Source organism: Homo sapiens, chromosome 17 (genome assembly GCF_000001405.40).
Source record: "Homo sapiens chromosome 17, GRCh38.p14 Primary Assembly".
Taxonomy (NCBI): Eukaryota; Metazoa; Chordata; class Mammalia; order Primates; family Hominidae; genus Homo; species Homo sapiens.
The window spans coordinates 14,336,496-14,353,063 of NC_000017.11; the positions used below are offsets into that span (position 1 = coordinate 14,336,496).

General features: G+C 44.6%; 1 protein-coding gene across 3 annotated transcripts in view; it reads left to right on the plus strand.

Annotated features, from left to right (window-relative positions):
- Positions 1–12,909, plus strand: part of HS3ST3B1 (heparan sulfate-glucosamine 3-sulfotransferase 3B1) — a 48,324-nt gene extending 35,415 nt beyond the window's left edge. For 2 of the 3 annotated variants that reach the window (NM_006041.3, XM_017025479.3), the window contains exon 2: positions 8,533–12,909. In NM_006041.3, coding sequence (NP_006032.1) covers positions 8,533–9,151 — 619 coding nt within the window. In that variant the 3' untranslated portion in view covers positions 9,152–12,909. The remainder of the gene's footprint in view (positions 1–8,532) is intronic. The other variant, NR_130138.2, reaches the window with a different exon arrangement.

Here is a 16,568-nt window from a genome sequence, read left to right on the forward strand (position 1 = left end):
GCTGCAGTATTTAAGAGCCCCAGCAAGAGTGGGGATGTTCAGTGGTAAAGTCTCGTGTTTCTCCAAAGCCCTGGGACCGCCATTCCCCAGTGGGAAACTGACTTGGCAGGAAGTCAGCTCATCTTCTCAGCTGACCACTCTATTCTGGAGAGGAAAGGCAAGGGGCAGAGGCTATCTCCGACTGCAGATGAAAATTCTAAATCTTCAAATGTGATTCTGAGCATCCTGCCTCAATATTGGGAAAAAGGAAAACAGGAATTTATGCCATTAATTCATCTTACTTTCATGGAATTTTTTTCTTTTAAATGAGAACTTAGTGTCTTTCTTTCCTTTTCCTTCCTTCCATCCTTTCTTTCTTTCATTTATAAAGAAAGGAGTTTATTTCTTACAGTTCTGGAGGCTGACAAGACCAAGATTTTGGGGACACATCTGGTGAGGGCCTTCTTGCTGGTGGGGACTCTGTTGAGTCCTGAGGCTGCTTAAGGCATCCGATGGCGAGAGGCTGAGTGCATTCATATGCTCTAAAAGAGCACTGAGATTCATTTGCAGCCACAAACTCTTATACAAGCATAAATTAGACAATCTAATACTAGTATTATTCTTTACCTGTCTGTTTTTCTTCTGCTTAGGGTAATATTATTTAACTTTTGATGATGAAAGAATTAGATACCTCTGTTAGCTTTTCTTTATCACACCAGTAGAGGTGGACTTATCTTTCTTCTAGTTTCCTTTCATTTGTTTTGTTTTACTGGTAGCCTGATTCATATCTGGTAACCAACTCTCAGAGGGGTGTGTGTGTGTGTGTTTAGGGGCAACAAGTATCTTATCCTGATTGGATTTTTTTTTTTTTGAGATGGAGTCTCTCTCCGTTGCCCAGGCTGGAGTGCAGTGTCAGGATCTCGGCTCACTGCAACCTCCATCTCCCAGGTTCAAGTGACTCTCCTGCCTCAGCCTCCTGAATAGCTGGAATTACAGGAGCCCGCCATCATGCCTGGCTAATTTTTTTTTTTTTTTGTATTTTTAGTAGAGACTGGGTTTCGTCATGTTGGCCAGGCTGGTCTTGAACTCCTGGCCTCAGGTAATCTGCCCACCTCAGCCTCCAAAGTGCTGGGATTACAGGTGTGAGCCATTGCACCTGACCTGCCTGATTGGAATGGATTTGTTCTTTTCTCTGCAGTTTGTAGACCATCAGGACACAAGCCCTCACTGGCCCTGGGAGGTGATCTACAGGCAGCTGAGCGTGTGACCTTCACTCCTCTAGCCATGACTCAAATAGCTAGTCTTGGATTAGCTGAACAACTTTCAGTTCTGCTGACAATGTTGTCTTCTCATTTTTTCCCCCCACGAAGGTGGACCTCTATACCCACATAGTATCTCCACTTAGGTGCACATGAATATCAGCAGAATACATGACTAGATTATGACAAGTTCCAGGCCCACAGATGCCACAGCATAATGGTTTCCAGTCCTGCTTGCACATTAGAATCATCTAAAAGAATCCCATGTTGAAGCCCCACCCATCCAGGGCCTGATTCAATGGGTGTGGGGAGGGGCCAGGCATATAACGCCAGTTAAAAGCACCCTGCATGATTTAAAATGCTTCCAGGGATGGAACTGAGTGCCACAGAGGTGGCGTATACCATTTGTTTTAGACGGAGTCTTGTTCTGTCACCAGGCTGGAGTGCAGTGGTGCAATCTCAGCTCACTGCAACCTCCACCTCTCAGGTTCAAGTGATTCTCCTGCCTCAGCCTCCGGAGTGACTGGGACTACAGGTGCGTGCCGCCACGCCCGGCTAATTTTTTGTATTTTAGTAGAGATGGGGTTTCATCATGTTAGCCAGGACGGTCTCGATCTCCTGACCTTGTGATCTGCCCACCTTGGCCTCCCAAAGTGCTAGGATTACAGATGTGAGCCAACACGCCCAGCCCATATACCTTTCTTTGTTTTGGTTTGTTTGTTTTTTGAGATGCAGTTTTGCTCTTGTTGCCCAGGCTGGAGTGCAATGGCACCATCTCGGCTCACTGCAACCTCTGCGTCCCAGGTTCAAGTGATTCTCCTGCCTCAGCCTCCCAAGTAGCTGAGATTACAGGTGTGTGCCACTGCGCCTGGCTAATTTTTGTATTTTTAGTAGAGATTAGGTTTTTACATGTTGGCCAGGCTGGTCTCGAACTCCTGACCTCAGGTGATCCAGCTGCCTTAGCCTCCCATAATGCTGGGATTACAGGTGTGAGCCAGCACACCCAGCCTGGCTTATACCTTTCTTGAAATATCCTTAAACAAATTGAAAGCCTGAAATACTCCAAATCCTCCTGGTTCTCAGAATCATGCACTGTGGCCCAGTTTTTTGAGGCCACTGGTGGTCCTGGAAGTTCATTGTGCTTGTCATCCCCAAATCTTAATGGGGTGACAAGCCTGCCTTGCCCTTAGGTTTAATTAAAGAAGTAGGATCTTTCTTGGGTTCTGTCACCCTGTGTTCATGTGGGCACACATACCTGGTTAGTATCTCCTAGGCTTGTCCCAAGGAATACTCTTGTGGGCTGTGAGCATTGTGTCTTCCTTAGCTTTGGACTGGAGATGCTGTCTAGCCCCATCAGCCTCACAAACATCTATTAGTGATATGTGCCAGGTTTACGTGCTTTTCAAAAAGGTATCCCTTCCTGCCCACGTGGTAAAGAGGGGAAGAAGAGGCGGGGCCAGGGTTGCTGGAGGGGAGGTGCTGTTGCAATGATTGGTGATTTTCCAGGCCTCATAGAAGGCAGTTAACAATGGGATCATGTAAACCAAAGAGCCTTATTGTTTCGAAATTGGACGCCTATTTGAACAATTATGATCGGCAGTGATCTGATTAACACTGAAATACCTATTAGGCTACTAATGTATGAATGAAAGAAAAAAATACAGGAATCTATTTAAAGAGAGGACAGGTGTGTAGCTCTACATGTTCTAAATCATATTAAGAAGAAGCAAAGGAGGGTTAAGAGAGGATCATCATGAATGGAAGAAGGCCCATCAGGAGAGCTGACTACAAGTCCCAACTCTCTGACCTGCAGCTGGTGACCCATCTCCAAGCAAGTCACCCTCTCTCCTTTAGACTCAGTGTCTTCATTTGAATTGGAGATTACAATAACTACCACAAAGGCGTTAAAGTAGGTGATAAAGCAGGTGAAAGTTTGCAAGCTCCAGGGCGCTATATAATTATGAGCTCTGACTATCCCTTTGAGAAACTGGTTTTCATAATGAGTGACTCAATTAACCTGCATCATGTGCTCACTCTGGAGGCCAGCCTGGGGCTGGACAGGCTGCTGAGGTTGCTGGGATGGGCACACAGATTCCATGTGAGGGGGTCTTACCCTCGGCCACATCCTCATCCTTTCTTCTGTGTGCCACTGTTGAGATCAGAGAGGTTTCTGAGAGTGAGGGCAGGAAAGTGTGCCCAGAGGAGGGGCAGAGGAAGAGGAAGGTGTGCCCAGTTAGTGAATGGAAAGAACTTGACTCCAGGACTGCGCGGTTGTAGGGTGAGGGTGGCAGAAGAAGAGCAGCCAAAGGGGCAAAGAGGGACTTGCCTGGATGATTCTGTGCCAGGAGCCGCTCACACACTTCTCAGGCCTGCCATGCTTCTCACTTGGGGTCACAAAGGTTCTTTGCTTGACCAAACTTCAGTCCGCCTCCTGAACCTTCTCCCAGGACCTCCTGTGCACTTCCTTGTAAAACCCAATCTTAGCAAAGGCCCCTGATAAGTCATTTTGGCATGAACTCCTCACCCTTGATATCTTATCAGGTTCCTCAGCCTCCACCAGCCCCCAGGTGATGTCTGGTCACTTTGGCCAGTCTTCAGGGAGAGTCCTATTAGATCGGTTTAGCCAGAATTCCCCTTACCCCTCATGGCGCCTCGTAGTAAGTTTCTATCCACTGACCCCCACCCTGCTCCTTGGCTCTAAACCCCACTTGCCCATGCTGTATTCCGAGTTGAGGCCAATCTGTCTCCCCATCACTGCAAGACTCCACTGCAGTGGGTCTCTATACCTATCATGATGGTCCTGAATAAAGTCTTTGCTGCTGTGATTTAACAAGCGTGATTAATTACTCTTTTCTTTTTTTTCTTTTGAGACAGAGTCTCACTCTGTTGCCCAGGATGGAGTGCAGTGGCGCGATCTCAGCTCACTGCAACCTCCGCCTCCCAGGTTCAAGAGATTCTCCTGTCTCAGCCTCCCGAGTAGCCAGGATTACAGGCATGTGCCACCACGCTCAGCTAATTTTTGTATTTTTAGGAGAGACGAGGTTTCACCATGTTGGCCAGGCTGGTCTTGAACTCCTGACCTCAAGTGAACCACCCACCTCAGCCTCCTAAAGTGCTGGGATTCCAGGCGTGAGCCACCAAGCCCGGCTGAGTAATTTTTTTCTTGGCATCTTGGGAGATGCCAAGTCTCTTTATCACAGCAGTAGTTCCCCTGGCTCAGTTATTTTGACAATAATCAAAATAAATTCTGAGGCTCCTTGAGTGCTTTCTGACACATGTGGACAAACACCAGACTGTCCTGGGGAGAGGGGCCCTCATATGGGTTGTGGGACCAGCAGGCGGTCGAGCACAGTAAATCTGCCCACGGCTCAGGGAATCTTTATTTATGGTTGATCTCTCATTTCCTTTTTACTAGCTTTATTATGTGGTTTCCTATACACAATTGCCGATTTAGCATTCTGTTCAGCTACTGACAAGCCCTTCTCTAGGGCCAGTGAGGAAATTCCGGCTGCAGAGTTCAGGGAAGGTTGTGGACCCCAGGCAGGCTGAGAGCAGAATCCAGCATTCCTGCACTTAGCCTCTTCCAGGAGCCAAACCTCCCTCATTGCCCCCCTGTGGGGTAGAACTGAATGAGTGACAAGTCCCCTGTGCACAAGTCTTGCTTCCTTACATCCTTTCCAAGATCCTGTCAACAGAAGATAATTGATAACATTTTTGTAACAGCCTACTAGGTACCAGGCTGGGTACCAAAGCTAACTTTGCAGTTCTTTCAAAAGCCCTAGGAGGCAGACATCATCTTTTTTTTTTTTCATTATTCAGATGAGAAAACTGCAGCATGGACAGATTAAGTGATGTGTTCCCCAGGTTCACACACGTTAGTAAATGGAGGTGCTGAGAGTCAGACTCGGTGGCCTGACTTCCAAGCCCAGGCTAAGTCAGACTGACAGCGAGATACCCCTAAACCCCCTTCTCTGCAATGGCCCCGAAGAACCTTGGGGTTTGGTATTCCTTCAATCGTGGTGATAATGCTTTGATTCTGAATATTAATGTCTTGTAAACTGTCTAGTTGCAGATGGCTTAACACAGGGGAAAAAGAACTTGGGCTTTATCTGACTTGACCTGCTTTTTAGTCAAATGCAAAATAAGTTGCGAGCCGAGACTCTCTTTAATCCTCAATCACATTAGCCTGATGACACTGCTACATTAATTTAAGTGGTTAATGGACAAAGTGGGTCAATCCAGCTTTAGCTTAAATCAAGGCTGACTCCAGTGCTGCTGAGGCAGTCTTCCTTAAGGGAAAAGCACTCTTCTTCTAACTCCCTGTTGGCAGTCTGCAAGAAGGAGTGCCCGCCCTCTAGGGAATTGCCTTTTCTGGCTCCTGTGATCAAGTTTCTATGGTTTCCGTATCGGTGCTAGATAGGGGAATTGTGGTCTCAGTGGATTAAGATGGCTTGAAGCTTAGAATGCCTTACTGAGAGGTAAATATTTGGTCAAAAATAATGTGGAAATTCTCTTTTTTTTTTCCTTTTAATTCCTGTGCCTAGGCAGGAATCAGTTGGAAATCTCTATTCCATAGTAGATAGCTAATAGATGATATAGCCTCTAACATGGTATCTAGAATAATAGCAGGCACCCAATAAATTGTCCGACTTGTAAATAATAACTTTCTGATTGTAGATCTGTGATCAAAGCTTAGTATCCACTTAGTTAACACACCTCCTTTTGGTGTATACAAACTAGCGCTTATACACATATGCTGAATTTTGGTCATATGATATGCCGTAAACTGTGTATTGAGCAACTTAATAATGATAATAATAATGACAGTAGTAGTGGCTGATATTTGTTAAGTATATTCCATATGTCAGGTGTATTCTAAGCATGTTATAATTATTAATTGTTTAATCCTCATTAAACTTCCATGAATACGTATTGGTGGCTCCATTTTTGTGGATGAGAAAAAGACGCCCAGAAAAGTTAAATAAAGTATTCAAAGTGACATAACTTATAAGTGGTAGAGCCAGAATTTAAACCCAGGCAGTCTGACTTTAGATCCCAAATTCCTTAACTAATTTAAGAAGCTAATTTAAGCTAAACTGAGTCAGCTTTATGAATTTCATTTAATTTTTTTCCTTTAAAAGAATATATGTGATAAATAATTGTGCATATTTTGGGGGTACAATATGATATTTTGATCTACGTTTACATTCTAGAAAGATTTAATCAATGGCCGGGAGCAGTGGCTCACGCCTGTAATCCCAGCACTTTGGGAGGCCAAGGCGGGTGGATCACGAGGTCAGGAGATTGAGACCATCCTGGCCAACATGGTGAAACCCCATCTCTACCAAAAATACAAAAATTAGCCAGGTGTGGTGGTGGGCGCCTGTAGTCCCAGGTACTCAGAAGGTTGAGGCAGGAGAATTGCTTGAACCCGAGAGGCGGAGGTTGCAGTGAGCCGAGATCGCACCACTGCACTCCAGCCTGGGTGACAGAGCGAGACTCTGTCTCAAAAAAAAAAAAAGAAAAGAAAAGAAAGATTCAATCAAGCAAATTAACATATCCATCACCTCACCAACTTATCATTTTTTGTGTGTGGTAAGAAACTGGAAAATCTGTTTTTGAAGAAGATTTGAAATACACAACATATTATTATTAACTGTGGTCACTGTGCAGTGAAATAGATCCCTACAACTTATTTCTCCAGTCTAACTGAAACTTAGAACCCCCTGATCAACATCTTGTCTTTCATCATCTTCCCTTTAATCCCCCAACCAGCCTCTGGTAACCACCTTTTTACTCTTTTTCTGTGAGATCAACTTTTTTAGATTCTACATATAAATGAGATAACACAGGATTTGTCTTTCTGTGCCTGATTTATTTCGCTTAGCATAATGTCTTCCAGTTGCATTCATGTTATTGCAAATGGCAGAATTTCCTTCTTTTTAAAGGCTGTATAATATTTCATTGTGCATATATACTACACTTAAAAAATCTATTCTCCATTGATAGACACTTAAGTTGCTTCCATATCTTGTCAATTTTGAATAATGCTATTATAAAATGAATAGGAAAATGCAGATATCTCTTTGACATACCAATTTCAATTCCTGTGTATATCTATCCAGAAATGGGATTGCTGGATCTAACCTCACTTAATTTCTTTCTTTTTTTTTTTTTTCTGAGACGGAGTTTCCCTCTTGTTGCCCAGGCTGGAGTGCAATAGCACCATCTCAACTCACTGCAACCTCTGCCTCCCTGGTTCCAGCAATTCTCCTGCCTCAGCCTCCCAAGTAGCTGGGATTCCAGACATGCACCACCACACCCAGTTAATTGTTTTTTAGCTTTTAGTAGAGACGGGGTTTTGCCATTTTGTCCAGGCTGGTTTCAATCTCCTGACCTCAGGTGATCCACCCGCCTCTGCCTCCCAAAGTGCTGGGATTAATGGCGTGAGCCACTGTGCCCAGCCTGGTTTTTTTATTATTATTATCGTTGTTGTTGTTTTATAACTTCAGCTTTTATTTTAGATTCAGGGGATGCATGTGCAGGAATTTGTTACATAGGTATATTGCATGATGCTGACGTTTGGGGTACCGTTGATCCCATCACCCAGGTAGTGAGCATAGTACCCCTCTAAAGTATTTTTGGAGGCTTCTAGAGTTGTGTCTTGGGAATTTCCTCGTGGCATGTTTGTATCAGTTTACTTACCTGATTTCACTGGATTTTTTGGCTGCTGTGTGCTTTGTTGCTTTGTGAAGTAAAGGCTTTGTCAGCAGTCACTGTGTTAAAGCCGGAACAACTGGGCGGGACCCGAGGGATGTTTTCCTTCCAGTGCCCATGGCACATCTGCCTGGGTTTGGTAAGTGTGAGAAGGCAGACTAGTGGCAGGACTCATGGACAGTGAAATCTCTGGGAGTCCCGGGTGCTATAGTTTTAGGAAAGGCACTTATCAGAGGCCAAAGGCTTTTGTATTTTGGCTTCAGATGCTTGGGGCAATCTGAAAGCTGGGAAAATAAGGGAAAGGTTATACCCACAAGAGGATCTTAGAGAAACAGATAGCTTGCCCTTTCTACCTTGCATGAAGGGGCCTTCGTGTTTTCCGGTAGATGGTACCTGCCCTCCAAACCAGGTGGGATGCTAATCTACCTTTCAGCTCTAAAGTTCTACTTGCATTTTACATGTTTCTACCACTGCTTCCAGAAATAAGAGGGAGCTGGGATTAGAAGTCGTGACCTTAAGACGTGTGGCCAGAGAGGCGTCACCTTCTGATCCCGGTTTGTTTGCTTGCGTTTCTCAGGGACCTGATGCCCAGAACCCTGGACGGGCAGATCACCATGGAGAAGACGCCCAGTTACTTCGTCACGCGGGAGGCCCCTGCGCGCATCTCGGCCATGTCCAAGGACACCAAGCTCATCGTGGTGGTGCGGGACCCGGTGACCAGGGCCATCTCGGACTACACGCAGACGCTGTCCAAGCGGCCCGACATCCCCACCTTCGAGAGCTTGACGTTCAAAAACAGGACAGCGGGCCTCATCGACACGTCGTGGAGCGCCATCCAGATCGGCATCTACGCCAAGCACCTGGAGCACTGGCTGCGCCACTTCCCCATCCGCCAGATGCTCTTCGTGAGCGGCGAGCGGCTCATCAGCGACCCGGCCGGGGAGCTGGGCCGCGTGCAAGACTTCCTGGGCCTCAAGAGGATCATCACGGACAAGCACTTCTACTTCAACAAGACCAAGGGCTTCCCCTGCCTGAAGAAGGCGGAGGGCAGCAGCCGGCCCCATTGCCTGGGCAAGACCAAGGGCAGGACCCATCCTGAGATCGACCGCGAGGTGGTGCGCAGGCTGCGCGAGTTCTACCGGCCTTTCAACCTCAAGTTCTACCAGATGACCGGGCACGACTTTGGCTGGGATTGAGCAGACCCGGGCTATGTACCTTACCCACGTGGCTTATCTATTGACAGAGATTATATGTATGTAAAATGTACAGAAATCTATTTTATAATAATTTATTTTTAATTCATAAGCAATTAATTCACTAAGCTGCCTAGCCACACTCTTTAGAGAGTTAGCTTCATAATCTGTTAACATTCCAAAGTGTTTAACTCTAGTATTTCGTTCTCTTCTTCACAATTGATGGTGCTTCTATTTTTTCTTCTCCCCTACCTGTTATATTTAAAACAAAGAAAAGCACAACTTGAGATTTTTGTTGTTACGGGTATTCAGCCTTCAGTCACCGTCTGAGTTCTCCAGTTGCTGCCTCCTTGTCTTGTCTTGGGTCTCCCATTCCAGCTTCCCTGTCTCTTCCTGCCTGTGTACCTCGTAGGAACGCTGAGCTGCCTCAACAGGGCTGTATTCTGAAGGGCAGGCCTCATGCAGCAGCCTCCTTGCAGATGTGGTGTCCCGTCCAATGATGTAGCCTGAAAGCCACAGCCCTAGGGTTCTGTCCCTCCCTCCATTCAGCACATGGGGAAATTTCTCACTCCCTTTACAGGGACATCCACATCCTTTTTTTTTCTTTTTTTTTTTTTTTTTTTTTTGAGATGGAGTCTTGCTCTTGTTGCCCAGGCTGGGGCGTAATGGTGTGATATATGCTTACCACAACCTCTGGCTCCCGGTTCAAGCGATTCTCCTGTCTCAGCCTCCCAAGTATCTGGGATTACAGGCATGCACCACCATGCCTGGCTAATTTTGTATTTTTAGTAGAGACGGGGTTTCTTCATGTTGGTCAGGCTGGTATCAAACTCCCGACCTCAGGTGATCCGCCTGCCTTGGCCTCCAAAGTGTTGGGATTATAGGCGTGAGCCACTGCGCCCGCTATCCACATCCTTCTAGAGTCAGAATGGTAGGGTCTGTTGACTTCAGCTTTTGATTTTGCAGGATGGCCCTGTGTCCTCCTCTGCCCCATTCCCTGGTTCATTAACCAGTTTGAAGTGTATGTAGATTGTTGCCCCGTCTTTCCCAGGTCACATGTGTGAGATGCCTGGGTGCTGCTTCAGAAATCAAGATGATCTCCTTTAATTTGCATGAAACTACACCATGCTGCGTTCCCCAGGCAGACAGTTCTGCTTTGACACACCAAAGAATCCCGTAGGCTAGCAGAGCCACCAGCACAAACCAAGGGCGCTGGGTGTCGAGACTCAGAGGGGTCAGCTGTGTCCCTCGGCATCAGCGTCTACCAAGGTGCTGCTAGGTACAGAGCCAGCCAGTGTTGGGCAGCAGGCTCACAGCCTCAATAGGGAGAAAAGACAAAGGCCTCAAAATGACAGGCAGCCTGACAGAGGAAGGAGTCTGACACCTCAGCTTGATGCGTCTTTGGAATTCCTAGCTCATCTCAGAATTATATCTTAGAGTGATAATATGGGTGGTAGCCAGTGGCCAAACAGCAAGAACTAAGAGTGGCCCTTGCAAAAAAAGGTTGGGAAAGCTGGGCCCATATTGCCTGTAAACCCTTGAGCCTGATGCTCATACAGCTGTCCCTTGTTTTAGCCAGGTCTTGACAGAAGGGTTACCAGCACTGTCACTGCTCTACAGAATGCTCTCCCCGTGCCTCTCTGTTGATTTATAACAGTTGGGTAACCAGATAGCAATATAGTGGCAATTGAGTAGCCATATAGTAATACAGGGGCAGTTGGTTAAACATATAGCAATATCACATAATGATATGTTTAATTTAACCTCAGTTTTTTAAACCAGAATGCTTCTACCATAAAAGAATTGTGATTTCAGTTATACTTCCATCAAGGAATATGTGGGAAGATATACATATTGTCAAAATGGTTGGGATGGGATAGTTACAAAGGACACTTTTGTATGTTGTATGGGATCACTTGCCTGATAGTATAAGGAACATTGTATGAAAAGATGAAAAGATACTTCATTTTTAGAAACTGATCAGAGATGTCACTGGTCTTTAAGTGATGTCTTGAAAATCCAGTATGTATTTGCCCAAAAGTTTTAGCCTACATCTAGCTAGCTTACACTTAGCAGCCAAACCATCATTGTGTAGGTTCTGTTTTGGAGGAAGCTCATGGGGGATCTGTGTATTTCTTAGGTTTCTCCCTGTTCTCCAATGTTTTATCCATTTCGTAGCTTTTTTACTGTCTCCAGAAAGTAGTGTGGGACCTGCACTTAGGGGAATACCAGAATCATAGCGTGGTTCTGCCTTCTTGATGAGTGATTGTGAAAAACACCTGCATAAGGGTGCTAATTGGTTGTGTATTTTTTCATTTATTTGAAATCAAACTGAGAACACCTCTTTTCGGTTTACAGCATAACATGGCTTGAAGTAAAAGGCAGTATCCAAGTCCTTCACCTGGTCTTGCCCTGTCTACTTTCTGATCATTCTGATGGTCTGATGTGGCTGTTGATGTGGAACTGCAGAAGAGTTCAGAGAAGAGTATGCAACAAAGCCATAGGAAAACACACAGGAGCTTTTCCCTCCCCTTCAGGTCCCCGCCCTCTTTCCAAGCTGGACAATTTTTTATTAAGTTGTTTATTCCCTGCCTTAAAACTGAAACAGGAAATTTTCTGGTAGAAGGAGGGTCATTTAGTCACGAACACTGAAGTGGGTCAAAATTCTATTCTGGGTCAAATCCTTGAATTCAAACAGATGTCCATAATCAGTACTGATGGAATAGAGCAAGTTTTTCTATGTAAGACAAATAAATCAAACATCATGTGCATCTCCTCATAAGGGTCTGCAAGGGTCTGATGGTTTAAAGTTCCTAACAGATCTGGTTGCAGCATCTGCCGGAGCTTGCACCCCATCATCGGACGGTCATCTTCCTGCTGCAGAAGTTAGGTAACATAAGACTTAGATTTCTTCCTGTTCTAGCAATCTGCAAGACCACCAGGCTTAACTTTTTAGCTGCCAGAAGACAAACCCCCTTTTCTGTTTCGGCAATTTGTCCTGGCACGTGTTTTGGACTTCCTCCGATTTACACGAAAAGCTCTGATATTCATTGGAGTACTTTATTTTTTTTCCTCAGTTTTGTTTCTTTTCTCATGTAAAAACAAACAAAAAGGTCAACAAAAAAAAATTGAGGTTTTTCTTGTTTCTATCTAGTTCATGCTTTCTTTGCGGTGTTTGAACAGTAGTCTGTTAACTTAGTAGGTGGTACCTGGAAAGGTATTTTAAGTATAGTGACTGTTTAATAAATACTTAATTGGATGATGGAGGAGGAGAAATTGTTTTCTTCCCAGGATTCTCTTTGGGGGTCATTTTGTGTGACAGATATATTTTAGACATTTGGAGAAACAGTTTCAGATCCTGCCAGGATATTTTTGTAAAAAAGGAAAATGGAAGATTCCAATAAACTAGAAACAGTACGTATCTAAGATGCTGACACAGAAGCTAATGTGACTTTTCAGCTTATCAAGAGGATGGCCAATAAAACTTAAAGGTGTGGTTAGATGTTTTCTCACTTTTGTGACATTAATTTATCACTGAGTCTCATTCAACCAAGTAATCTAAAATACTGTGCAAATTCTAGCAGTATGTCTTCGATAACTTGGATGTTAGGATAGCCAATATGTACAAAAAATTAAATCAAGTATTTTGTCCTATGTATAACACAAATTAATTTTACACAGAGAAAGATGTTTCTAGGCAAGTGAAATTCTGGTAATTCATACTATTTCTTTGTATGAACAAATAAAATATATTTTGCCAACATGTGGGTACCTTTATGTTTTCTTAAGTATTACAGAAGGACAAGGTAGCAATATTTTGTTTAATAATCCCATGTGCGTGCATGCGCACACACACACACACACACACACACACACACACACACACAGAGTCATTCTGAGGGCAAGCTGATCTTTCAGATTTTAAAGGGTCCAATCCAATATACAACTAATCCACAAGCATTTAGGGTGGATTTTTTTTTTATAAATGACTCTGAAGACAAGATCGGCGAGAGGGGCTCGTGTGTCTTGGTGGAGCTTCCCCGCAGCCCCCAGGAAGTGCTGTCTATTACACAGGATTCCAAGAATACTGAAGCCGCTGCCTGCCCCGGTCTTTCAGTGCCACAGGTTCGTGTGCATGGGCAGCCACATGTCACACGACAGGTGCAATGTGAGCACAGCACCTATGGCTGGATGGATTTTGATAATAGGTGCCTTCTCTTCTCACTTTTGCAGAGTGTTCTCCTATTAGGTGGAGATCCTTATCTGTAAGACAGAGACAGAAAGGACTCAGACGAGGCAGCATTTCTGTGTCTTTAATCCGTCTCAAACTACCTTCTGCTTACTTTTTACCTGGCACACCATCTGTACAATTAGTATTTGCTACTTTAACCATTTGATTCACTCTCTGATTTTACTTAACTTTAAAAGGAAACATATTTTAAGTAAAAAGCCATGATGTCTTGCCAACAGGAGGAGATCATCATTTTTAAAAGGCACAATGAAAGCAAAGCAATGCTGTTAATTTCTAGCCCAGGTAGTATCACTAAAGCCACACTAGCCTTACCTTAGGCTCACTCGCTGCTCCTGGCAAAGATTCTACTGTTCAAGACTGGCACATAAGTGAGATTTGCATCTTGCCATGAAGAATAAATGGGACTTGGTGAAGGAATGACTTACTCAATGTTATTTATTGTTAGTTCTATGTATGCCTAAAATGTGGGCGCCCACTCCCCACCTCCAAATCATCTCTCGCAGTTCTCTTGGTTTTCTGACATTTTTGGAAACACAGTGCCTCATACTAAGAAAATGCCTCGGAGAGGCATGGAGTTGAAAATTAGTCTAGCATTGTGGGAAAGCAGTGGAAAGAAAACCCTGACTTAACTAGAACAGGGTGTAAGTTCGTCAGTCAGAAAACAAGCCTTACTTAAGATTTGGTTTTCAAAAGCTAGCATTCTACGGAGATCAGTTTCTTCAAAGCTAGAAATTTGCCACTTAGTGAAATAGGTGTGTGAAATAGAAGTGTTGACTTTACTTTGCACCCCAACTCATCAATTTTATGCTTTTTCTACAGAAAGGTACTAAAATGGACCTAAAATCTATTTTTTTTTTTTGAGATGGAATTTTGCTCTTGTTGCCCAGGCTGGAGTGCAATGGTGTGATCTCGCTCACCGCAACCTCCACCTCCCAGGTTCAAGCGATTCTCCTGCCTCAGCCTCCCAAGTAGCTGGGAGGCTCCCATGTGCCACCATGCCTGGCTAATTTTTTGTATTTTTAGTAGAGATGGGGTTTCTCCATGTTGGTCAGGCTAGTCTTGAACTCGTGACCTCAAGTGATCCACCCGTCTCGGCCTCCCAAAGTGCTGGGACTACAGGCGTGAGCCACCACACCTGGCACAAATCTACTTATTAATCTGATGGCACAGTTTAGAGCAGTGGTCATCAAGCTTGGGGAAATATTCGAATGACCTGAAGAAACCTCAAGAGATTCCAAAGCCTGGCTGGGGGGCTCACGCAAGTAATACCAGCACTTTGGGAGGCCAAGGTGGGTGGATGGCTTGAGTCCAGGAGTTCAAGACCAGCCTGGGCAACATGGCAAAGCCCCATCTCTACAAAAAATATAAACACGAGCCGGGTGTGGTGGCACACCCATGATCCCAGCTACCTATAAAGCTGAGGCGCCCACTTGAGCCCTAGAAGTCAAGGCTGCAGTGATCTGTGATCGTGCCACTGAACTCCAGCCTAGGTGACAGAGGGAGACCCTGTCTCAAAAAAGAAGAAAAAAAAATTCTGAAGCCTGAACACAATTCAGACCAATTACATTTAAAATCACCAGGGCTGAGGCCTTAACCTGGGTATATTTAAGAAGCTCCCCAAGAGATTCTAATGTATATACAAGGTTAAAAGCCATTAGTCTGGAGTAGTTCTCAAATTGTGGTTCCTGAACCACAGAGCATCACATAGAAGCCTGGTAGACATGCAAATTCCTGCCCTTCTCAGACCCACTGAATTAGAAACACAGGGTTTAACAAGCATTCTAGGTAATTCTGACTCACACCTAGTTTGAGAACCACCCAGCTAGAGCGTAGACTTCCTATTTTTTTAAAATTAGAGAGCTTGGACTGCTGATGACAGCTGTTTTCCTCTGTACCATGCTTCTCACCAGTAAGATCAGCTATGAAGCTGTCTCTTCATATAACGCTAGATCTCCTTTAAGGAAACTCCTGCGTAGTTGCTGTTGCAGCATTTCAAATAGTTCCGAGACGCTGGGCCCACTTTTATCAGTCAGCCTCTAACTGTCATCTGTAATATGTTTCTGGAAGTGCCTGAAAATCAAACGATAGACTTGTATATCATAAGGCATTTCTTTTAAGAGAGCTAAAAAATCTTTTACATCCCTAATTTCCCCTCACGTAGATTCAACTTCCAACAATGTATTCCCAATGTTTTGCACTTGATTAACCATTATTTCTTCTTATCCTTCACAACCGAACCCACAGTTGGCTACCTAAAGCACACTGGCTGGCCATTCAAGGTCAAAGATTTAGCCTGGCCATCTGGCCATCTTGTTCTCAATTATAACAAGCTCATGTGAACCTACAGTTGCTATCATTAGCATCTAGTTTCATTTTTCCATTCATACTTACTATTATGTACAAAAGATGATTAAGTAATCATCTTATTGCACAAAGTCAGCTGTAATGACATATCTGTGGTCTCACAGACAGCCTTCCCCATTTGAGAGTTTGGGAAGTTTTGCTTCTACGCAACAGACTTTTGTTAATGAACTAAAAGTGGCTCAAGGATGTCAACGTACCATGTCTCCTGAGAAAGGTGCATATGAGGAATTGAAGTTCCTCCCCCTGGACCTGACTTTATACCTACAAGAAGGTGTTAGAGGGGGCCAGGCATGGTGGCTCATGCCTGTAATCCCAGCACTTTGGGAGGCCGAGGTAGGCGGATCACGAGGTCAGGAGATCGAGACCAGCCTGGCTAACATGGTGAAACCCCGTCTCTACTAAAAATACAAAAAATTAGCTGGGCGTGGTGGTGGGCACCTGTAGTCCCAGCTACTCGGGAGGCTGAGGCAGGAGAATGGTGTGAACCCAGGAGGCGGAGGTTGCAGTGAGCTGAGATTGTGCCACTGCACTCCAGCCTGGGCGACAGAGCGAGACTCTGTCTCAAAAAAAAAAAAAAAAAAGAAGGTGTTAGAGGCTCCTTTACATTTTCTCTGTTGATCCCCAGCGCCTCCTGCTCTGGTGGCTCCTTGGATGTGTAGAAGCTGTCTATAATTCCTCACTTGTTAAGAAACCGTAACCTCAAAACAAACAGGCCTTGCAGGCTTTCTGTTTCCATATATTTGAAAAGAGAAGAGAGAGGCATGAAGCCTCTTTTGGAAGCAGTAAACAACAGGAAGCCTCCAG